The sequence below is a fragment of the Homo sapiens genome, chromosome 6 (assembly GCF_000001405.40).
Source record: "Homo sapiens chromosome 6, GRCh38.p14 Primary Assembly".
NCBI lineage: Eukaryota > Metazoa > Chordata > Mammalia > Primates > Hominidae > Homo > Homo sapiens.
Genome location: NC_000006.12, coordinates 71288203 through 71311941, shown reverse-complemented (window position 1 = coordinate 71311941; position 23739 = coordinate 71288203). Strand labels below are relative to the sequence as shown.

The window sequence follows — 23739 nt, the reverse complement described above, 5'->3', positions numbered from 1 at the left end:
CCCACATAGCTTGGGTTCCTCAAACTCTTCCATCTGCAGCTTTTAGAGGAGCAGAATTATGACACCTATCCATCCTTCACCTTCATTATCTGCAAAATTAGGATCCACACTCCCTGCCAATTATACAAGTCTATAATTTCCCTTCTCATTTCTGGACATTGAAACAGATAAAATGAGAAATTAGTTGAATGCTAGATTTTTTTTTTTTTTTTTTGTAGACGGAGTCTTGCTCTTGTCACCCAGGCTGGAGTACAGTGGCACGATCTCGGCTCACTGCAACCTCTGCCTCCCAGGCTCAAGCGATTTTCCTGCCTCAGCCTCCCGAGTGGCTGGGATTACAGGCGCACACCACCATGCCCAGCTAACTTTTGTATTTTTAGTAGAGACGGGGTTTCCCCATGTTGACCAGGCTGGTCTCAAACTCCTGATCTCAGGTGATCCACCTGCCTCAGCCTACCAAAGTGCTGGGATTACAGGTGTGAGCCACCACGCCTGGCCTAGATTTTTGTTTTTCAAAGAAGATAAAAATGTTCAATTTCTATTGAAAACAATGAGAATTTATTTCATTTCTTCTGTATAGTACAGGGGTGGTGCTTTGAGGGGATAAACAGCTGAACAAGACAATGACCCAGGACTTCCAGTAGGCCCCATTTTAATGTCACAGTATTATAATATCTATAATTTTGAATTTTGAAAGGTGAATGTTTCTTTAGCACAAAATTCTTCATTCTTCTAACTCCAGTTGTAAGAAAATAATCGCAATTAGGCCACCATGTTCATAGAATTAATTACATACACATTTTTAAATAGTGTTAACTTTAAGTGGCCTCCCACTAAGATATGAAGTACATATCTATTTGGAGGATTAGAAAGTAAAATTTCCAGCTTTCAATAAGAATCAAACTGATAGTGTACTAAAAATAAACTAAGGTCATCTGATTGAAAGGCTTCACCTCTGTCTCACACTCCAGCTCTTTTCTTGGAAGAGAAGAAACCGTTTCAAAAAATTATTAAGGGAGCAACAAAGGGCTGTTTTGTACATTCATTACATTCACGGTGAGGGAAATGTTCTGTCCTGTCAATATCAGTGTATCTAATCTAAAATCATTAATTCCATACCTGCTAGCTTTTTTAGTAAAACTATATTAAAATTAAAAGTAAAACTTACAGTATTTGTTTCGACCTATAAACCTGGTTAACATCCATTAGATTAGATTGGTTTTCATTAAAATAAGTGCTACACAAGACCTGTCATAACTAAGCATCTTCTTGTTTTTTGTTTTGTTTTGTTTTTTCTAGAGCCCCAGCAGCTACTATTAATGAGTGTCTGGAATATGTTCCTGGCATTTCACCTACCCTCTCTCCAATCCTTCCAAGAAACTCACAAAGCAGGTATTATTACCAACAAGAGACCAGACACCCTGAGAATTTACACTCCTTCCCCAATACCACACAGTCAATTATAACTGATGATGTTGCCACTTGTACCAAAGTCCATCTGGCTTCAAAGCCTGCTCTCTCCCCATTCAACAAAATGTCTCTCTGCCCTTACTTTTTTTTCCCTTCAGGGCTTTTTCTTGAACTTCTCTTCCTCACAACAGTTAAATCATCCATTTAAAGATGTCAAACAACCTCCGTGTTCTAAGGTGAGTTGTCAGATCTCATTTGGTTCACCTTGTCTACCACTTATCCTTTGTTTATTCATTCTTCTTGTAACCTCTTTCTTTTCCAAAGCTGAGAGTAGATAAAACTAGCTATTTCAATAATAACTAGTTATTATTTCAATAATACCATTTGAGGAGAAAATATTTGTATATTTGGTAGTGTTGAATATGCAATAAAGCTGTAAAAAATAGAAGAATGTTAACTACTGTAGCAAAATTAATAAACCCAGTTTTCCTGAATAGTTAAGTTGAATCCATGCTGACTCTCAAATCTGTCTCTTTAGTATCCTATTTTAAAATCCTCTTCCAATTAATCCTACATATTCATGGGGATAATCCTAAGAGCAGGGTAATCTTTACTTGTTCCCCATATTAGTCTGACAACTCATTCAGTCACCGTTGCCAAAGCCTAAAATCGCCCACAAGAAGCCAAACTGCCTGTCATCATTTTTATCCAGGCTGGGATTTCCCTCCATGCTTGAAATACCAGCTTGTCTGTTTTGCATCCACTTTAGAATTAAAATAAGGAAAATGTTATGAATCTTTTCCCAAAATCTCTCCCATATTAAAATTTACATTCTTGCAGAAGTGCAGACTCAGTCCTGCATTTATTACTATCCTAAGAATCTTTGTTTTCTTCAGATTTTACAATACCTTCACACATTCAATCTGTGGGGAAAAGAAAATCGTATTTTCTGTTACCAGAATGTATTCATTCTTCCCTTATGAAAATGACTGCATGTGTGCACTTCTCTCTCTACTAAACCATTCATACAAAAGGCTGAAGTTAAAATCACGCTCATTCACCACTGAGGCTGTTATTTGCTATCATTTTCTCAGTTATGCACAATCTAACTTCACTCTTACTACAACTTATTCTTAGTTCTTTCATCCTCTTTCCCTGCTTATATAGAATGCAGCCAAGCTCAAATGTTATGCTTTTCCTCATTTTTGTCTACATTGTCCTGTGATTCTTAGAGCAACCTCCTCACTTTCATCTTGCAATTTCAATTTTTCTTAATCAAAAACTTGACTACTTAAATATTAGCCCGCCTAAGTGAAAAACATCTTTCACCTTCATTAGCTATTCATATTCATTCATCTGTAAGAAAAATACTTTTAAAACTCTGCATTACACAAAGAGATAACAATAAACATCCAAGTATTTACATATGTGATCTGTTCTGTAGAATCTCACAATAAAAATAACTTCATATATATGATTCACCCTTCACAATATTTATTTTTGAGGATAAAAGAAAATAATGTTAGTCTTATGTGTTAATCATAAAAAATACATGCTTAATGACAGGAAAACAGCAAGTCATTTTTTCTAGTTCTTTAAAAATATTTTAATCGTGCAAAATCACCATAATGTACTCTAGCACAATGCTAAAATGTTATCTAAGATGGAGTGGCTTTTATTAGTTTTACAGGATGTATATTTGGCAATAGTTCTTAAAAATAATTACTCAAAAGGAACTCTAACTCTATTATTTTAGAAACAATATTTTAAAATACAGCAGTAAGCAACAAAAACTATTGCTCTTTATACATTTTTGGCATAACACTGCCATACGGTTACAGAATTATAAAATAAGTATTTTATAGTACCATACAGATCCAGAAACTGGTTACAACTTCTACCACATACACATGGTATTGGTACTAACGAACATGCACAGCATTCTGTAATTCATACTGCAGTTGAATACAGAGCACAGAGAAGGCCCAGTGGCCACTGGAGAATCAGAGCTTATGTTATAAGTAAAACACACATCTTTGTAACAATCGTAGGCATTTTCCTGAAATATTTAAAATACAAGGGACACAATAGTTTCCAAAATGACATAATCTACCATCCTTCTTAGATAATACTAAAAAAGAAAGATTACCTTACATAGGAAACAACTTAAAGCCCTTTTTAAAAACAGGAGGAAAATGCTTGTCAAAGGACCTAACATTTTGCTCTCATTTGTTTCTCACAATTATAATGCCACACAATTAATATGCTGTCAACTCTTGACAGTGTGGAAGTTACTTCACTCACAAACCACCTATCACTGAGTCTTTCTCTTATCTGCAGCCAGACCATCAACTTAACTTGTAAAACTACCAACTGTTGCTACACACAGGCAAAGGAATTAAACTTGGTAGCTGATCATTTGATTACATCTATCAGTCTACTGGAGGGCTTCAACGCAGAGTAGGTGGAATTCATGGTTCAAATCAGAGTATTAATGGGATCTGTTTGCACACCAATACCTGATCTCCTTGGCACAAATACAGAGCTGATTCTTAAAGCATGTCCCCACAATAAAGCTTTTCTTAATCATTCGTCACCTGCTTCCAATAATTCTGGCACTTACACAAACTTATCAAGGGTTATGTCTTTATTTCTGTGGTGAGTTTCCTGTTGCTGTTTCTAGACTTTTATTTCATTTGTATTTTATTTTTCTTCACATGAAACAAAATCTGTTAGCACTGGGAAAGAAAAGTTCATTTGACTAATGAGTGTAGAATGTAAATGTTTCTTAGTACCAAAACTTATTATATATCTAATTTTTCTAGTTAACGTAAATTGTTACACAAAGTATAATTTAAAAAGTAAAACTATGACAAACCCTAAAGCTTAAATATTTTTAGAGAAAAAGGTATTTTAGCACAGTAAGTGACCACTACTGCCTTTTCTCTGAATCATTTTATAAAGAGATTTTATATTAATATACAGCTGTGAATGAACAACTTCCCTAATTTTTTAATTAAATAAATAGGAGTGAGGGAAAAAAACTCATATTTCAATGATTCCCAAGATCGTTAAGATATAACTACAATTTACTAATGCCCAACTGCTCACAGTTTTCTAAACAACTACAAAATAAATAAATTGTAGCAGGTATTTTATGAGAACTGATACCCATCAAAATTGTGTATGGAGTCCATGATGGCCTATCCTCCCCAGAAGTCAGAGCTCACAGTGCCCAACACCCTCATTATCCAGAGGAGAATCTGAGGACCCATCATGCCAGTGGAGAAGGCTGGAGCCCAGCACTGGCGCCACTTTCCTGAGATGCCCACACTGATTCTTGTCCCTTCTCCCTCTCTGAACTCTACTTCCAGCCAGTTTGGGTCATAACACAAAACATTTAATTGTATTCTCTACATGAAAACTTTAGTTCAGGAAAATAAACATATTAAGAGGTTATTTCCCTCAAATAACTGAAACAATAAACTTCACAACAGAATAGGAAAAAAAATGACAAAGAACACTCTCTGTAGTCTAGGAAAAATGCAAGAACAGTGCTTTTAAAATGATTCTAATGAGACTACAGCATAAAAGTTTTTCAAATTAGTTTCAGATTTCTCCAACTGCCTACTGGAATTAAACTTTTAATAATTTCTCTAACATAATTCTATTTCTGCATCCGCCTACATCTAAGAAGAAGCAAAACATAAATATTATTTGTAGTAACTAAGGAACGTTTAAAATGAAAATTATAGTATGTAGCTAAACTACAAAAAGCATAAATAAATATAACAGACAGTATAGTTAGTCTTTCTTACTCTAAACACGTTTTGTCAAATGTAACACATTGTTGAATATCATGGTGAGTACACTTCTTGATAAACTGATGCTATTGTCCCAAACAGCAACTTCTCCAAAATGATAAAGCACCACCTAAATTTCATTAAAAGAACTGATATTCATGGTTTAGAAAGTTCCCAATGATGAGATTTTATAATGTAATAAAAATGTAAACTTCTGAATGAAAACCATTTACATTTGTTAAGGCACATCTGGATACCTCCAGACATTCATATTTATAGCTATATTATTATTCATTTCAATAATAAGGGATTTCTAAAAACACATTCTGTCCCTGAACACAATCTGCTGGGTGTGTTGGATAACTAGAATGCAGAAGGAGCAGGGTAGTACTCACTGTCACCCTAGAGATTAGCCACACAAATATGTTCCTGTAATAAACAGTACAAAACTCAAAAAGAAGCCAGCAAATGTACACTCCTAATTTTCTAGATCCTACATTGACCCAGGCCATTTTTCTCTACAACTTCACCTACATTTAATGATTCTAGTGTGTCTAAATACAGCCTACCTTATACTCAACGCATATACCCCAAATGAGAGAGGGGAATTTCCTAAGTGGAAAACAAAATAGAAATCTTCAAAAACATTCCTACAACAGAGGATCGCCACTCACCCCAAACAGACATTAAAGACTGGTAGATGTAGTTACAATCAAGCAAGATCAAGAATATCCTTTGTATCTTAGATTAGAAAACAAAGCTTTAGAAGAGCCTCAATTATAGTTTAAAAAATGCGTGATTACTCAGTATGGATGACTACTCAACCATAACTCTATTATAAACTTGAAAATTTAATATTAAAACAATTAACCAAATATTCTCCCCCCATTGGTTAACCCAATTTTTGACCACTCAGTGTTGAGGTTCATTTACTACTATGATTTTTCAAAGACTAACTCAGATGTAATACTGTACTGTTTTTTCTTTCCACCACATCATACTTTCACTCAGATTAAAGTATAAAACTAGAAGCAGGGTAGGTGATTTTATATGACAAAATATGAAACAATGACTATGACAGGCATTATGGCATTTTCATATGTTTATATTTTTACTACTTAGCAAAAAAATACTTAGAACTTCTCTAGTAACTCCTGAGTTGTAGATTTTATTTTCTCATTGAAGCTGGAAAAAAGTAGTCCCAAAACCTAAATTCAAAATAAAACTATGCAACATAATTTTTGAGTTGACAACTAGGCTTGATTTAGAGAAAGTAAACATATTTTCACCTCTATCATTATTCTTTTGAATTTCTTATGAGATCGAGAATGAAAATGTATAATGGTACAATATTCTTCATGTTATAAACTCTTTCTCTACTGTACAGAAATATATCTTATAACTATATGTCACTTTACAGTATTTAAAAATAGTTTCACATAATCTCCTTTGATATATGAAAGCACAAAATATTAGAAATGTTCTAGACTAATCAAGCGATATAACATCTATTTGCCATGAAATGCAAGTTAGTATTTTATCAATAGCCAATATTTAGTATCCTTGCACTCCACAGTACAACAATAAAGATTATATATTTGTAAAGATTCAGTAATATTTTTAGCTATTTGGTCATGCTTCACTGCATTTTTTATAACAGCTTCTCAATGAATTTCTGCAAGCATATCGTAGTTTTTAAAATTACAAAACATAGGAGTCAAACCCAGAGCACTGTTTCATATATAAGACACACATAAATACATATCTATAGATCTTATTTAAAAAACTAATATACAAAGCATTAATAGAAAAAAATTCTAGACACTCAATGTTTATCTCCAAAAGGAATGATATCCTTTTACTTGTTCTCCACTGAATGATTATCTAAGTTATTTAGGGATTAAATGTAAGAAACATACTATTATATATGAATATGCATTTAAAAACACCATAGTGGGAAAAGGCCACTATTTAAGATGGATGCCAGGAAGTGTTTCTCTTGAGACTAAATATTCTCGAATTTAATGTTACAATCTAATCAAAATCCCTAAGTAGGAAGAATATTCTAAAAGTTAAGTTGCTAAATGAAATGTTTTTACTCATAAGGGCTCTAATATACAATTTCTAAGTAATTCAAATTACATTCATTGATTTTAGTATCTGGTAACTTTATTAATATCATAATATCTGGTCACAATCTTTTACTATTATGCATTTAGAAAGTTGTCTGAATACTTTATCATGTATATAAAATTGGTAAGTTATTTTGAATTAAATTATTTGTGTTCTACAATTCAGCCTAATTTGACAATCGCTTCTCATCCTCTAAACCCTGTAGAACTATTTACTGAGCTCTACGGAGACACAGCTACAAGCACCACGTAAGAGTGTCCATGTTTTTCTTGCATGTAAAACAGAAATTGAAATGCAAAAGCAGATTGCCAAATCCTAATACTCACAGAACACTAGGAAAGCAAAAACTGGCATATTATGGGAACTAAAAATGAGAAAGTGTTCCATACTATACTTATTGGAACACAATGTACAACAAAAGTGCTACTGAGATTCATATAAAAAATTAGAGTTAAGCAACTGGCATGTTTCATGTAAACTTCAAAGCAGTAAAATCATATTTCTAGAGGCATACTATAAGTGTGATTCTTTTCAAGAAATCCACTGCAGAAAATGTGGATCAATAGAGGCAACAGAAGATGATATGAAGTAGGACATATTACAAATTCCCTAGGGGATTAAAATGAATAGAACTTTTCTTAAAAGCCTAACAAAAAAGTTAATTCCTTTCTAAATGAAATAAAGTAGACATGTTTCATCTATTCATTGCTTTAACTATATTTGTATATATGCTTTGAAGTTCTTATCACAGTGTTTTTTGATTTGTAATAATAATTAGTAATAATATAGAAACAAAATTAATTGTTCTTAACCAGTGCTATGTAACCTATTAAGTGCTTACTAGAGTTGCATATATGGACTTTTAAATTTGTTCTCAATTTTGAAGTTTGATAACTTAGAGATGTACAAAACTATACTTTTTAAAAAACACGTTTGGGCTAAGCAACATTACTAATTTCGTAATCCATAGAACACTGACATATTCATGGTTTAAGGGACTACTGTCTTGTTCACAGTGCAAGAGGCATGCCTTTTAAAAAGGAATTTCTTATTTTTTAATTCTTCAGTCATTTACATTCAGAATCAACCATCAAATTTATATGGAACAGCCATAGAGAGCAAAATTCTTGTCTTGAACTTTTCAATCAAATTTGTTTTTAAGCACTTAATTCTGAAAACAGTTATTAATTTAAACAAAGCAAAATCTTGAAGTCATACAATTAGAAGTCCCACTCTGTTCCATGTAGATTTCAATATAGATCATCCTAATGTGTATAGTGGTCCCTTGATATCTGTAGGGGGTTGGTTCCAGGACCCTCTGCAGTTACCAAAATCTAGGAATGCTCAAGTCCCTTATGTAAAATACTTTAAATCATCTCTAAATTACTTACAATACCTAATACATACAATATAAATGCTATGTCAATAGTTGTTATACTGTATTGTTTAGAGAATAATGACAAATAAAAGGACTGCACATATTTAGTAGAGATGTAACCATCCATTTTTTCCAACAAATATTTTCAATCTGCGGTTGGTTGAATCCACAGATGCTGGACCCCTGAATATGGAGGGCCAACTACACTAGAAACACACACGCTAGCTGAGAAAGATGGTGGCTTAAGGGTAAGCATGGAAAGAGGCAAGGAGGTGAGGACAGCAGGACTGATAGATAAGCTGGGGAGGCCAGAGCTCCACAAGGACATCCATTTCACTTATCAGAATCTAAAAATAAACACGTTGAGATACTAGAATCAAAGAATCCAAATTAGTTTCTGAACACATTTGAAAAGATCAAACTCTTACAGTTAAAAAAAAAATTAATCAGCCAGACATGGTGGCTCATGCCTGTAATCCCAGCACTTTGGGAGGCCGAGGCGGGTGGATCATGAGGTCAGGAGTTTGAGACCAGCCTGACCAACATGGTGAAACCCCGTCTCTACTAAAAATACAAAAATTAGCCAGGCGTGGTGGCACACGCCTGTAATCCCAGCTACTCAGGAGGCTGAGGCAGGAGAATCGTTTGAGTCCAGGAGGCAGAGGTTGCAGTGAGCCGAGATCATGCCACTGCACTCCAGCCTGGGCAACAGAGACTCCGTCTCAAAAAATAATAATAAAATAAAATAAAGTAAAATAAAGCCATAAATCAGGTAAAAGTGTAGCAATCCAATGAAATTATCCTCTTGATTTCCTTCATGTAGACTATAATGTCTCAAAAGAATGTATTTTGTATACCAAATACTACATGGTAATTTCTAGATACTCTGAAAATATTCTCAAAGTAATTATTATATACAAAATTTGAAAATTCACATCCTAAAAGCATTACAGAATACATTCATTTATTGGGTCTTATCTTAAATCTCCTTATTAGATATTCAATTCATTGTCATCCAAAATAAAAAAACAAACAACAAAATGCTTATGACAGAAATCACAAACAGATGGCTAAAATTTGAAATTGACCTCATCTCTGTTCTTTAGGATAAATGATACAGTAGTTTTTTCCTCTCTAGCCTAAACTGGCTTCTGGGTTTTCTGATAATTCACTGTACTAGTACAACATCATGGCAATTTGTATTTCCAGGATTTTCATTGTCTTGGTTATCATTTCCACCTTCTTCGTTATTCTCAGGAGATACACTCTCCTTTTTTTCTGTGGGAGTAGTAACTGTTTTCTCAGGTTGAGAATTCATGTTCTCAGCATTACTGTCCTTCTCTGTATTTCTTGGCTTGGCAGCTTCATTGCTGGGCTCTGGGCTGGGCCTGTCTGTCTCTTCCACAGGCTCTTTTGGTGCCACTTTTTTGTCTTCAGCTGTTTTGCTATTTAAATGAACAGCTGAGGAGGAATTTTTGGAGTCCTTGGCTTTTTTGTGCATAGAAGTTTGACTGTTATGACTGGAGGCGAGAGGGGAAGACATTTTCTGGGCTTTGCTTCCCTCCGACTGTTCTTTTCGAGGCGGTCCCCAGATAAAGTTCTCTGAAGGCGTGTAGTGTTTCTGGGCGAACCGCAGGAGCTTTCTCCTTTCTCTTCTGTCTCTAATTGTATAAACAAAATACTCTAGAGCACTCTGCTTAATATTGGGAATAGTATTCTCCACAAGAGCTTCATGAAGAATAAATTTTACAAGAGGAGATTTAAAACTTTCATATCCAAGCTCACCAAGGCTTTTAAGAATACGAGTGATTCTTAAATAGTTGTGCTGGGACCTGGAAGAGAGGATTGAATAAAATGAGTGGGGGAAATCAGGTGTAGGAAGGCAGGAGAATGAAAACTATTGGGAAAATATTTTTTATGGAAATGTAAGCCATGGAAATATGCTGTGTAATGACTTCCTAATGCCATATTTGATACCATTAAGAATAAACCAGAGGGTATTAAATCCTTAGGCCACAATGTAATGTCAATCTATGTGAAAGTCAAATGTATAAAATAAACTTCCCTTGTCTGTTGAGTTCTTCATATTAGAAAAATATTTAGGTTTAAATTTATTACCACTGTCAAATTGTTGCTTATTACTGAAAATACACTGAAGATGAATGATCTAACAGAGCATTTATTTGCACCAACATCAATGTACTGTACTCATCAGAGGTAACCATTGCTAAACATAAACACATTAGCTAACAGCTGACTGGTACAATTTATAGTGCCAGCTGATAAGCAAAATCCACCACGTAAGCCAACTCATAAGGATGGCGGCAAAAACTACTCTACTTTGCTAAAACAGTTCTGACAAAGGACACAAAACTGACTTATTTAGCAGAGCTTAGTTTAACAGTTAAGAGCATGGGCTTTGGAGTCAGACCTGAGTTCACACCCTGGCTCTGTAACTTAGCAGCTAAGTGAAACTATGTTTCTCTATGTCTCAATATCCTCATCTGTAAAATGGGGAAAAGTGCCCACAACTTACAGGACTGTTGTAAGAATCAAATGAGATGATACACATGCTGGGTATATAGAACTCGATAAGTACTAGATACTATTTAAAACTATTAGTATTATCATTTAAAGATACGAGATTAGGGACCACCATATTTGTACCTATCCAACTTAACCTAATTTTCTTCAATCTCTGGTCATTCTTTCCTCCTCTTTCCCTATCTGATAATTTTAAATCTTATTTCTAATGGTCTTGATTCCAAGGGTACATTTTCCCCCAGATTACACTAACATCTTTCCTCTCTATCACAAAACTAATGCCATTACTGGATGAATGTTTTCCAAATCTATTTTGTCACAATTCATAATGTAACTCCCCAAACTCACTCAGCTCAATCTTTGCTTTATTACACATGCCTGGTCAAATTCCAAAAGAATCATCAGCCACATGTATTAATCATAGGTGTTGTCAACAGCCCAGGTATTTATTTACCCAATATTGCCACATAACAATAACCATCACTTATTTCTAACTTCCTAAAGCCTGTTTTATATCTCAGACATGGAACTTTCTGCAAACATTATATATACCTGTCCTAGCTTCCAAAAATGCTTGAAGATTTTACTTTGAAATAATTAGCAAATTACTTGGGAAGCAGGGAGAAAGATGTTGATGAATTAAGGGATGGCAGAGTATGGTTCCATGGTCTTATGTTTCAATGAGAAAGTTTCTTTGGACAAAACAAAAACCTTAATGATTCATACTAACCAAACACTGGAAAAGCTAAGCCCAACAGTTCATCATCTTCATCTTTCTGGATGTTTACTAAAAAATTATTGTCTTAACATTCAACTGTGAAGCCCAGAGGGTAAAATGCAGCACAGATGTCTCAGTTTTACACATCTGTATTTTTGAATAGGAAGTAACACTCTTGAGACAATACAAATTTGGGTACAGTTAAGACAATGTGTCACTAACAGCAGGAACAACTTAGTTGTTACATTCCTATGGAGTTTGCATACTCTAAATACTTACTGACAAAACCCTTGGGCAATTCTGCCTCATATATCTATGAGAAAAAGATGTATAAAAAGGTGGAAGAATTCTTTTTTTAAAAAAGAGGAGCTCTATGACTAAACAAAATTTACTATATTTGCAACCAGCTCAATTTTATATAGCCAATCTTAGATGAATGCTGAAGTTAAAATTTCTGTACACATTTACTATATCTATATATGCTCCAATTAAAAATATTTACACAACAGTATAAAAGGAAAAAGACTTGGGTTAAAAAATGATGATGAGTATCCCAGAACAAAACTACAAAATAAAGCAATTGGGTGTTTCAGTATGATTTGTAATAAATGTCATAGTGAAAGACTAAATGGTATAGAAGAGAGTGGCAAAAATCCTTATAATGTATAAACCATCTTAGGGTTACACTATAGGAAAAAGAAAGAAGCTGAGGTTCCAGACAGAGGTTAAGGGTAGCAAATAGTGTTGAAATTGCAAGAAGTCTAGGTAGGTAAAGAGAGAAGACATACAAGGTGAGAACCAGGAAACAAAAAATAAAAGTTAAAAGGCTCCCCAGGGTCTAAATATGGCTCAGTAATCCAAGTTGATTACAAACAAAATTGAAAACACCTCTTAGTGGTTGGTCCATATATTTGTACTCTCATGTCTGAAAATATTTTGCCTCTTTTAGTCAAGGTCGCTTGTTCACTCAATGTTATTTTATTTTACTTTGATTCAATATTTTTCCTCTGCTTAGCTACTATAAATATATTGAGTTCCCTGCCTACTGTAAACTACTCAAGATGCCATATACATTAAAATACAAATAAGTTATGACATTTAAGAATAAGTCAGAAAAGGACCCAATTGAAGAAGAAAATAGAACAGACGTTTTCATAGAATCCTCTATCATTTGTTCAAATCTAGTCAGTAAAGATTTTTTGCAACTAAACTAGAGAAGAAACAGAGTGTTTTCTGGCAGATTCTAAGGCAGTTAATTCACAGCTGGAAAAGCTCTATGCTGACAATAGGTGGCAGAAAGAAAGGATGGGGCAGAGGAGTGAGAAGTGACTTAGTTCAGGCTCCCTTCCCCTGCCTCAACCCTGGAAATCATTTAATTAAAGCCTTAAAAAGAGACTCTGTTTCCACCTATAAATCAGAGGATATGATAACAAAACTCCAAGGAGGATTTAAGCTGAAGACCATATTTTGTTAATCATTTATTCATTCAATAAAAATTTATTAAGCAAGATTGCTATTCCAACCAAAAATAACAAGTTTGAGGTATCTAAAATGATAGTCGTTAAGTACATGAAAGATGAGGTACTATCAAATCCTTTCAAAAGATTTACTGTTACTATTGCTGTCTTTCATGTCAATAGGCTGCTGGCATGTAGCTCTTTCACAGTGTAATATAAGTGTTTAGAAACTCTGTCCAGAGCTAGCTACCTGTATTGCTTAGGTAGAGGTATATATACCTATGCTTTAAGTGCCCTACATAAGTCAAATTTGAGTTATGAGTTAATGGATCTTCTAGTCAGGAATATAAAGCTTTATGCCCATATCTTTAGCGTTTTAGTACAAACTACCATTTTAATATCATTGATTATAAGTAATAAAGTAAAAAGAAGGCTTTTTACTTCTTATAACATTAATATTTATACCCATCTGAATTGAACAATGAGAACACATGGACACAGGAAGGGGAACATCACACACCGGGGTCTGTTGTGGGGTGGGGGGAGGGGGGAGGGATAGCATTAGGAGATATACCTAATGCTAAATGACGAGTAAATAGGTGCAGCACACCAACATGGCACGTGTATACATATGTAACTAACCTGCACGTTGTGCACATGTACCCTAAAACTTAAAGTATAATAATAATAAAATTAAAAATATATATATTTATACCCATCTTACCAAAGCAAGGTGAAAGTTCTATAAAAACACATAAAAAAATAGTTAACTGATGCACAAAACGTAGACTGCTGTGGCCAAAGGAAAATTGCTTAGGTTAGTTTTAATTTTTTTGCTCTTAGTACTTGCTCAGTTTAGCTAATTATAATATGCTTAAAAGTACTTTAAAGCTGGTGGCTGTATAGGCCAGCATTCATAAATAATTCAACTATGATTAGTTTAAATGTAACTATAATTAGTTAAAATTTAACTATAATTAAAAAGAAAATAGACAGTGAATATGAAGAAAATATCAAGAAAAATAAACTTTGGTTATGAGTATTAACAAAAGTTATAAACATCCAACCAAATGAATACAGCAAAACAATTCCAAATAAACTATGTTAAAATGTTCTTCATAAGTTTTGGGACTTATTACCCAAAAATGAGTTTTTGTTTTTTACCTTAATAGTGAAGACAAGTGTAATTTTCTCTCTCTTTTAGTAAAAACTATGGGCCCATCTCATTCTTATAAAATGATTTTTATACATCATAGGCTTAATGCATGAATTTAATCTTAAGAAGGCATTATGCTTAGAAACAGATTGTGCCCCAAGAAGCTTACAGCCTACAAGAAGGAATACACAGAATTGTACACAAGCAATAACAATAAACTCAAAGAAATGTGGCATAAGGAGGAGGGAGAGAAGCAACATTTGGCTGTGGGCAATAGGAAGGTTTCAGGGAGAAACAGGTCTGAAGCTGAATAGCTGTGTTTCTACCTAGAATTTTGTTCCTTTTTGTTGTTGTTTTGTTTTGTTTTAGAATGTGGTACAGGAATGTAATGCATTTCAGACTAGCTTTTTAATCCAAATTCCTGGGCCCATCTCATCTGCTAGTTGTTCCTGCGTTTCATAGAGAACTCTGACCAAGGGAAAATAACTGTGCTGGCCCCTGATTTATCACAGGGGCTTTACTTACTCATTCAGATGCTGAAATCTTTCCTGCCAGTTAACAGCCCGAGCAACATTTCCAGTTTTATCAGTCAGTTTTATTCCAAAAAATTCTAGCATCATTTTATAAGCCAGGAGGAATCTTCTAATTGCTTCTTTTGTTTTTTTGAATTCCTAATATAAAAAATGAAAAAAGTCACCTGAAATGATTCAGTAGCTACAAGGACAGTGAAATAGCAATATTATTTGGCCACCCTGTATAAAATGAAATGAGCTTGCATTACCTCAATTTCATATGTAGTTAGTTCTTTGGCATAGAAGTTCAAGCCTTGTTCTCTCAGGGGGAAAAGCCTATTTATTTTAAAAAAATAAAATTTTTCTATTAACGTTGTCTGGAAAACATACATGATTAAATAGGACATGGTTCAAGATAGATAATATGTAACTGACCATTGAATGTAAGTGTGGTTGTGCTCCAGTTTTTCATAATCTCCTTTCCATTTACTTAGAACTTCTTCAATGTAAACACCTAAATAGTAAATATTTAAAAATGAACCAGACATTTCAAACATTGTGAAGGCATTTTAAGATTCGAATCACTTGAGTTTTATATGAAAACTTGTTTAAATTTAATAATAGCACACAAGAATAGTGCTTTTAAAAAGATGAATACCCTATGCCCATATATTCGGTTATGTGATAAATCTAATTAAAAAAAATTAATAGCACCTCAAATTGCACAAGGCTTTGTTGGACAATGTACTCTAAAGCAGAGCTTGGCAAACTGTGGCCTGCCAGCTGTTTTTTAAATAAAGTTTTATTGGAATATAGCTATGCACATTCATTTATGTACTGTCTATGGCAGTTTTTGTACTACAGTAGCAGAGCTGTGTAGTTGCAATACAGACCCACTGTCCCCCAAAGCCCAAAATATTTACTATTTGCCCCTGTATAGAAAGTTTGCCAATCCCAGTCCTAGGAGTTATATAGTTCTTTAAATGCTAAATTGGATCAAAATGAATTGCATCCTAGGGAAAAAGAAAGAAAGGGGAGTAGAAATAGAAGAAAAGAAATGAGAAGGAGAAAACAAAGGAGAAGGAAAACGAGAAAAGAAAAATGTAGGAAAAAGTTGTAAGTGCTTACTACATGCTGTGCCCATATTACACAGAGCGCACATTTTCCAGCTTAGTCTTCACAGAATGCTGCCAGTGTTATGATCCTCATTTTAACAATGAAGAAACTGGGAGATTTGTTCAAAGTTACACACTAGTAAAAAAGTAAATCTTGAGTGCAACATAGGTCTTTCTGGTTCCAAGAAGTAAGCCCTTTTCACCCTGTCCACTTTTCCTCTACAAGAACTTACAAAAACAAAATCCTCCTGTTCCTAAGTCTGTCAAGGTCCTTACAATTGACTAGCCATTTAGTCAATGTTGTAGAAAATAAAATAGCAATATAATATTTCTCCGAACATAACTCATCTCATTCTTGTTTCCTCCAGAGATCACCAGTTTGTAGTAGAGGCCCACTCTCGGAAGGTTTGGTAAAAAGTTGTTTTGAATCATAATGTTGGCTTTATTGGCATGTTGAAACCATTTACCTCTGTAATTTTCCATTTGTTTTCCTTTCCAACTACCACTCCTCCTGCCTGATAAATAAATACCATTGCAAGATTATGCTTACTGGCAAGTAGTGTGTGTGTGCGTGTGTGCGTGTGTGTGTATACTAGGGAGGAAAGTGAGTTGATATAATTTGTATAATAAACTAGGATAAACATTTTATCTGACCTTAGCTAAAACTTCTGACCCCCACCAATCATAAGATTTCAAAATAAACTTTGTAGTAAAGATTACCAAAAATTCAATATATTGCTTGAAATTACTTTTTAAATTAATATTTACAAAATAAATTCCCTAGTAGAAAAAAATAGAGTTAAATACTATCATAGCTTTATGTTTAATATTTTTAATATGTGAAGGCATTCCTTTAGGAAAATTGTATGAAATTCAAATCAGACTCAAATTAACAATCTATCATTGCATTTCTTCAAAATATTTTTCTACCCCAAGTCCTAACAAAATGAATAATTTGGCCAATATTTTTCCATTAGTAAATAAAGCAGCACATTTCTATCATTAGTAAATATAACTGTGCAATTTTATCCAGAGGTTTCATTCCACATCACAGCAGACTTTCAGGACACCAGAAAGTTAAAGACAAGTAGATCTGGCCACGTCAACGATGTTCTCAAATATTAACTCCCAACTGGTAGGTCTGTTGGTACACAGTACTGGGACTCCCTCCTCCCAAACTCAATCCAGGCTTTAGACCTCTTGCCTCGAGTTAGTTCACCAAAGAATGCAAGGTCCTGCCACTTGAAAGCCTTGCAGTCTATCTCCTTCCTTCTGTGACTCACACTGCTGTGGAACTGGCTCAGTTTCCACTGAGAGCAAATAGCAGAAGCCAGGGCAGTCTGACCACCTCACACAGAAAAGGGCTCTTGGGAGAGAAGCCAGCTTTCCTAGGGTGACCTGGATAAAATTAGGATGACCACCATGAACCACAGCATGATGCCTCAATGAAATATGCAATGTTGTGGTCATATTACCATAGCAGCTGCATCTTCTCACTATGGGTTTGGAAAATATCCTAGGAGGGCAATTGCAGAGTTGGGAAGGAGACAAGTGTATTTGGCAGAGTTGGATGGAGATCTACTGTATCTGCAGTTCCCTTCCCAGAATATTGGAACTCCAAACAGGGATTGCTGTAGATTGCTGATACTGAATCTGAAAACTGACAGGAAAGATAATTCTAAATACAAACAGCACTTTTCAATCACATGCTAAATAGTTTTCAGCTATGGCACAATGGAAAGAACAGTGGACTCTAGAACCTGCAATCGAGTGACCTAAGCTTTAAGTCCTAGTGACCTAATCTTTGAGATGAGAAAGCTGAATTTGATCTTCTCTACTGTTCCTTAATAACCTAAAATTCTATGGTTCTATACATCTCCTCTCTCTTCCTGTCACAAAAATTGTCCCTACTATCTTTCAGATAATAGCAATGTAAATAAGAAAGATACCATTAATCCATAGCTCTTCCTCCAGAATTTACCAAGGGGACACATTAGACTGCATAGCAAAGTAAATCCAATCAATGAAACAAACCACAAAATAAAGAATAACCAAGTGTATGTGATTATTTAAAGTGCAATTTATCAAGTAGTACGTTACTCACCATCTGGCTTGAATGGAATTTTATTCTTATAAAAACGAAGATTGCTCAAGTCATTTTGATATCGGATATCTTTGAAGTTCTGCTAAAGGAAAAAATAAATCAATCTCCAGCACATAGAAATACAGTAAAGATACAAGGACCCTTCATGCATGTTTTCTCAGTGGCACCATAAAAATTTAAAAACAGAAGGAAAATAGTTTACAGTTTAAAACATAGCATTCTATACTCTTACTGGGTACTGGTGTCGGTACTTGTACAAATCCCTGGCAGCATAAAAACTTCTCTTTGGTTTGGCAGTTGCTTCAGTGGAATCACCACCCTGAAATAAAAGGTGAAACTCCGTTTACATGTTGACGCAAGATAATTTCACAAAGAAATTTCCAGAACAAACTTAAGGAAGATCCATAAAGAAAGCCTGAAAATTGTCAATCTGTCCAGATTAATGAAAATATTATAAATATTCCTTTAATAACGCTTACTAGCAATATTTCTTAGCATCCTATTTTTCTTATTTGAACCAATAACATTTGTCCTAAGATATATTACTGAATAAAACACTTTATTATTAACCAAAAACCTAAGAGGCCAATGTTATGGATCAATATCCATCAAAAATGGAACTCAAAAAGGAATTCAAGACATTTATTTACCAGATGATTATGCAAGTGATTCTATGATAAAACTTATTTTAGAATATTTTACATAATACTAAGAATGTGTTAAGTTACTAAATCAATTCTACAAAGAAAATTGTCATTAAATTTGCAACATTTAGCTGTACTTGGAAGTCAAGTAATATTTATGAAAAGAAAGGATTTTAAAACAAACTAGCTTTCTAAACTCCATCCTTTATAATACCATGACAAGTACACAAAGGCATGAATAATCATCTGTTCACTGAATGATAATACAATGTGATATAAACATTTAAAATATATACACACAAAGCAATAAAATGCTCTTAAATGGAATGGTGTCCAATTGAAACAACTTATACATGGTAGTTTACTCATACTGTTCAAACTCTTAAGTAAAATTCCTATCACCATGAACTGATTTTTAAAGTATAAGATGTGGGTTAAAATAATCGATTTGCATTCCCTATATGTACTATTATAATGTATGAGAAAGTGCTGATGACAATCATGAAAAAGAAAAACTTTAGACCTTTAAGAGTCATTAAAAGCTTTGCCCCAAATTCTTTTCTCCTCAACCCCTGTCCTCCATCTGTGTTGACAGATTGGCATCCTCTAAGTAATTTTCACACATTTTTGAAGTGGTGTGATTCTCACTATTACTACAAGTACCGAGTTACTTCAACATCAAATCTTCTGATGCTTAACATTAGTTACGCTGTCATGTTACATAAGCAAGGAAAAGCTTGAATTCTGGTCCTTGCCACACGTTTCAAAATAGCTCTGCCTAGCAAGTTTCTGAATCTATTTAGCCTGAGATACAACCATATGAATCATCATCCTACATTTGTATAGAAGGCACTCTCCATTTACAAAGCACTTACATATATAGCGAATAGACAACAAACAGGGTTGACAGTCAAAAGGCATTATTTCATTTGATTCTTAAAACACACCTGATTGACAGTTAATAAGTGTTTCCATCTTAGAAACAAGATATCAGGGGCTTAGAGAAGTTGCACACCACCCAGAGTCCAGTGACAGTGCAAGAACAAGAATCCCAGGCTCTGGGTCCCAAGTCCAGGTCTGAATCAATCTCAGTCACACTAAAAAATGAAGGATATATGGAAACCTTGGTGTAGTATCAGTAGCCCAAGACTTGGAGTCAGAAGACTAGCAATCTGAACGCTGCTTACTTGTATTTGTGAGGCCTTAAGCAAATCATTTAGCTGAATCTTAGTTTTATCATCTCTGAAATAAAGATAATGACTCAAGCCCTACCTATTTCTCAGGATTATCATAAGAATGTCTGTGTCCTGCCAGCATCTGCTCCTGCTCTTCCAACCCCTATTCCCTTTGGACTCTCTACCCAGACCCCTTTCACCTGCTCAGACAAGGATTCTGTTGTTCAATATTGTTCCTCTTTCCTGGATCATCAAAATTTCCCTCTCTTCTCGATCTCAAACAAACATGCTGTAGTATCTTTAATCTTAAAATAAACATACAAAACATTCCTTGACCCAGGCCTACCATCAATTACAGATCCATATATCTACTCCTTTTTTATAGCAAATCACCACCAAAGAATTGCCCATACTTTGTTTCCTTCTTTTCTTTCCCCATTTTCCCCTGACCCACCTCAATCAGGCTTTTGTCCTCAGCACTCCAACAAAATAGTTCTTGTGAACTTCACCAATAAGTCTCCATCTTGCCAAACCATTTCTTAATGTTCACCTCAGGTGACCTCCCAACAGAACTGGGCCAATTAAAGCATCCCTCCTTCCTGAAACACTGTCAGTATTTGGCTTACAGGCTACTATAACTTTCTTAGTTTACTTTCTGTCTCATTGGGCTCCCCTTGTCAGCCTCCTTTTTTGGCTCCTCCTCCTCTTCATACCCTCTAAATGGAGGGGTGCCTAAGGTCCTCAGTCGTCATCACTCCTTGATAACCCCTTATCTTCCCATGCCTTTAAATACCATTGATCTCAGATGCTGAGGACTCTAGTCCTGGACTGTCTCCATTCATAGATGTAATTTAACTACCCAACAAATGATTAACTACCCAACAACTCTACTTGGATGTGTAATAGGATATCAAACTCAAGAGAATCGTTGATTTAACCTCCATAGCTGCATTCTCCCTAGACTTCCCTGTCTTGGTTAATGTCACCATCATTTGTTCAGTATTCAGAGGGACTAGGATGATGCAATGGAAGTGGTGTGAAGGAGTCAGTCTGGGATACGCTTTAAAAGTAGCTCCAGTATTACCTGCAAGTGGATTGACTCTGAGGAATAGACAACAAATAGGGTTGGCAGTCAAAAGGCAAAATTGAAAAGCAGATTTTTTGGGGAAGTCAGATGGTGATACTAACAAGAAAAATTAATCATTAAAAGGGAATAGGGAGGGCTGGTGTAGTCTACTAGTTACTGGGGTTGCAGTTAACTGACTGAACATTATTAAAATGTTTTATATAGATGGACCTGGTTAGTTGGATTGAATCTTAGCTGGTGTTTTTTGATATTCCAAATTTCTGTAGGAGGTTACTTAATTGGGAGACAAACGTAAGGGAAAAACATGAGAATGCAGCATCTAATAATTTAATAAGATTGAATTAGCAATGCAAAACAACAGCGGCAAACCAGACACAGGGGCAGATGGAAATTCAGAATTCCACAGGTCCAAGGCGCTGATATCAGTGATAGATAGACTTGGGTTTGCATCATCCTCTCCCTCAGTGATCTTGGGCAAGTTTTCCTTTCTCTCTAAGCCTCAGTTTTCTCTAAAATGGAGACCACACAGCAAACACCCACCCCAAAATTGTAGTTCATTTAAATAACACGTTTAACACAGAGCCTGCACTAAGACTTTATGATTTCCTCCTTACCTAAATAGAATTGATCATCAAGATGGCTGAGGCGGTGTTAGCTGTAATATTTAGGTTATGATTCCCCCAAAACCCTGTGGTCACATTGGACTTTGGGCTCCATTTTCCCAATCTCCATCGCCCCTAGCTGATAAAGAGAAGGGCCTAATGTGGAGCGGCAAACCTGAACCACCTCCAGGATGCACACTTCTTCAGGGGGTCGGCTACATATTTCCTCCTTTTTAAAGTTCCTGATTATTTTCAGTCCATCAGAGGTTAAGGGGCTTATCTCTTGACTAACCTCTCCTCCAAGCTGTATTAGTCAAACAGTTCAAACACAGTTGGATCAACAAGTCTTCTGGTGAAATAAGATTCGTGAAGAATGCCCTGAATCCTAGGTTGAAAGGCCTGAGTTGGGCAGAACAGTGACGTATGAACTTCAGATGAGGGCCTACACTTCTGACGGCTTAGACCCCACTGTAGGGGAGAGCGCTGGCTGCTTGCACTTGTAGCCCCACCTTATTCTGAGTAATTTTTTTTTTTTTTTTTTTTTTTTTTTTTTTTACCAATAACACACACTAGAGGGGTTGTCAAAATCCTCTATTTTTAGACAGGTTCCTCCCACCCCACCTTCGCATAATCCAGCTGCTCTGCAGAGGCAAAGAAAACACCCATTCAAGTTGGGTTCTGCCTTGAGGGACTTCCTCGCCGTGCCCTCGGCCAGGCCCCAGGCCGGCAGTGGGAGGGTCCGGCGCTTTGGGCTCCTGCAGGCCCCCGGGCTCCACCGGGAGACAGGTCAGCCGCGGCGCGGAGGGGTCGGGTCGCAGCGGCGAGCAGCCACCTGGCGCCCCTGGCCTCCGAGCGCGAGGGCGGCTTGGCACTTGCCCCTCTGGGGTGTCGGGGCGCCCCAGCCCGACCCGAGGCCACCGCTGGGCCGCGTACCTGCTCGGCGCCCGCCGCCTCGGCGTCCTCGTCCGGCGCGGGGCTGGCGCCGGGCCGCCCGCCGGCTTGCTCCGGGGGCTGCGCGGGCTGCTCGGACTCCTGCCCCGGGCCCTCGCTGCCGCCGCCCGGCCCTGGTTCTTCGGGCTCGGGCTCCGAGTCGGTCTGCCAGGTGGAGTCGCAGTCCTCCACGGTGGTGGGCTCGCGGAAGCTGACCCCGCCGAGCAGGTTGCCCATTGAAGAGGCGGCGGCGGGCGCGGGGCTGCGGGGCTGCGGGGCGCAAGCTGCGGCAGGCGCTCTAGGGCCCGGGCATGGCCGCGGCGAGGGCGCTGGGCGGCAGCCTAGGCGCGCCCGCCCCGCACTGCCTCAGCGCGGCGAGCGGCGGACAGGCACCCTCGCGGGGAGGAGCCGGCGGCCCCGGGACCGCCGCCGCGCGCGCCTGAACCCGCCCATCCGGCTCCTTCTCCTCCCCACAGGCGGGAGCTGCCGCCGCCCAGAGCCCCCAGGGGAGCCAACTGCGGCCCCCAGCCGAGCGCCACCGGCCCCAGGCCGCGCCTCCCTTCCACGTTTCTCCCCGGAACACCTGCCTTCACGCGGCCCCCGGCGGCCCCCGGAGTGGATTGGGGTCGGCTACTACCCTCGCCGCCCGGAGCCGGGGGACGCCCTCCCGGGGCATCTCCCAGCTGAGCGGGATGAGGGATCCCGCCCAGCTCCTGGAGCTGAGGACTGGCGTGGACGTGGTGTCGAAGAGGTGTCACCGTCAGCAGGCGGGTCCTGTCCACACCCCCTCCCCCTCTCCCTGGTCCAGGAGGAAGACACTTTAGCTGCAGCAGAGGACAAAAGCTGATGGTGCCGGGCACCATATAAACAGGAAATCCCAGCTGCCACAACTGTACTTAGGGCAGCCACCTAGAGTCCTTGTGGTCTAGAAAAAGTCAGAGCTATCAGTCACCTCATCTAATGAGCAATCG

The 23739-nt window shown here is 37.0% G+C and overlaps 1 protein-coding gene and 1 long non-coding RNA gene across 12 annotated transcripts in view, besides 1 other annotated feature; one reads left to right on the top strand and one right to left on the bottom strand.

The window, feature by feature from the left end:
• Positions 1 to 23739, top strand: part of LOC124901339 (uncharacterized) — an 84723-nt gene that overhangs the window by 24139 nt on the left and 36845 nt on the right. For all 8 annotated transcript variants that reach the window (XR_007059640.1, XR_007059635.1, XR_007059634.1 and 5 more), the window contains 2 exons: positions 1300 to 1392; positions 1569 to 1646. This is a non-coding gene — a long non-coding RNA (uncharacterized LOC124901339). The remainder of the gene's footprint in view (positions 1 to 1299; positions 1393 to 1568; positions 1647 to 23739) is intronic.
• OGFRL1 (opioid growth factor receptor like 1) lies at positions 2883 to 23131 on the bottom strand. Of its 4 annotated transcripts, XM_047419365.1 has the most exons (8): positions 22772 to 23131; positions 19922 to 20071; positions 18563 to 18649; positions 18331 to 18412; positions 15547 to 15625; positions 15381 to 15447; positions 15125 to 15270; positions 2883 to 10556 (listed from the first exon to the last, which is right to left on the bottom strand). In XM_047419365.1, the coding sequence occupies exons 7-8, from the start codon at positions 15217 to 15219 to the stop codon at positions 9893 to 9895; spliced, it is 759 nt and encodes a 252-aa protein (XP_047275321.1). In that variant the 5' UTR covers positions 15220 to 15270; positions 15381 to 15447; positions 15547 to 15625; positions 18331 to 18412; positions 18563 to 18649; positions 19922 to 20071; positions 22772 to 23131; the 3' UTR covers positions 2883 to 9892. The 4 variants fall into 4 exon arrangements, with proteins under 4 accessions (XP_047275321.1, NP_001311195.1, NP_078852.3 ...); NM_001324266.2 differs by lacking the exon at positions 19922 to 20071; NM_024576.5 differs by lacking the exon at positions 19922 to 20071 and having other exon boundaries at positions 18331 to 18409.
• Positions 22419 to 23478: a silencer, noted in NCBI's record as "silent region_17326". NCBI's record gives its function as "represses an Ori minimal core promoter by ATAC-STARR-seq in GM12878 lymphoblastoid cells {active_cell/tissue: GM12878}" and the evidence as "EXISTENCE:reporter gene assay evidence [ECO:0000049][PMID:35858748]".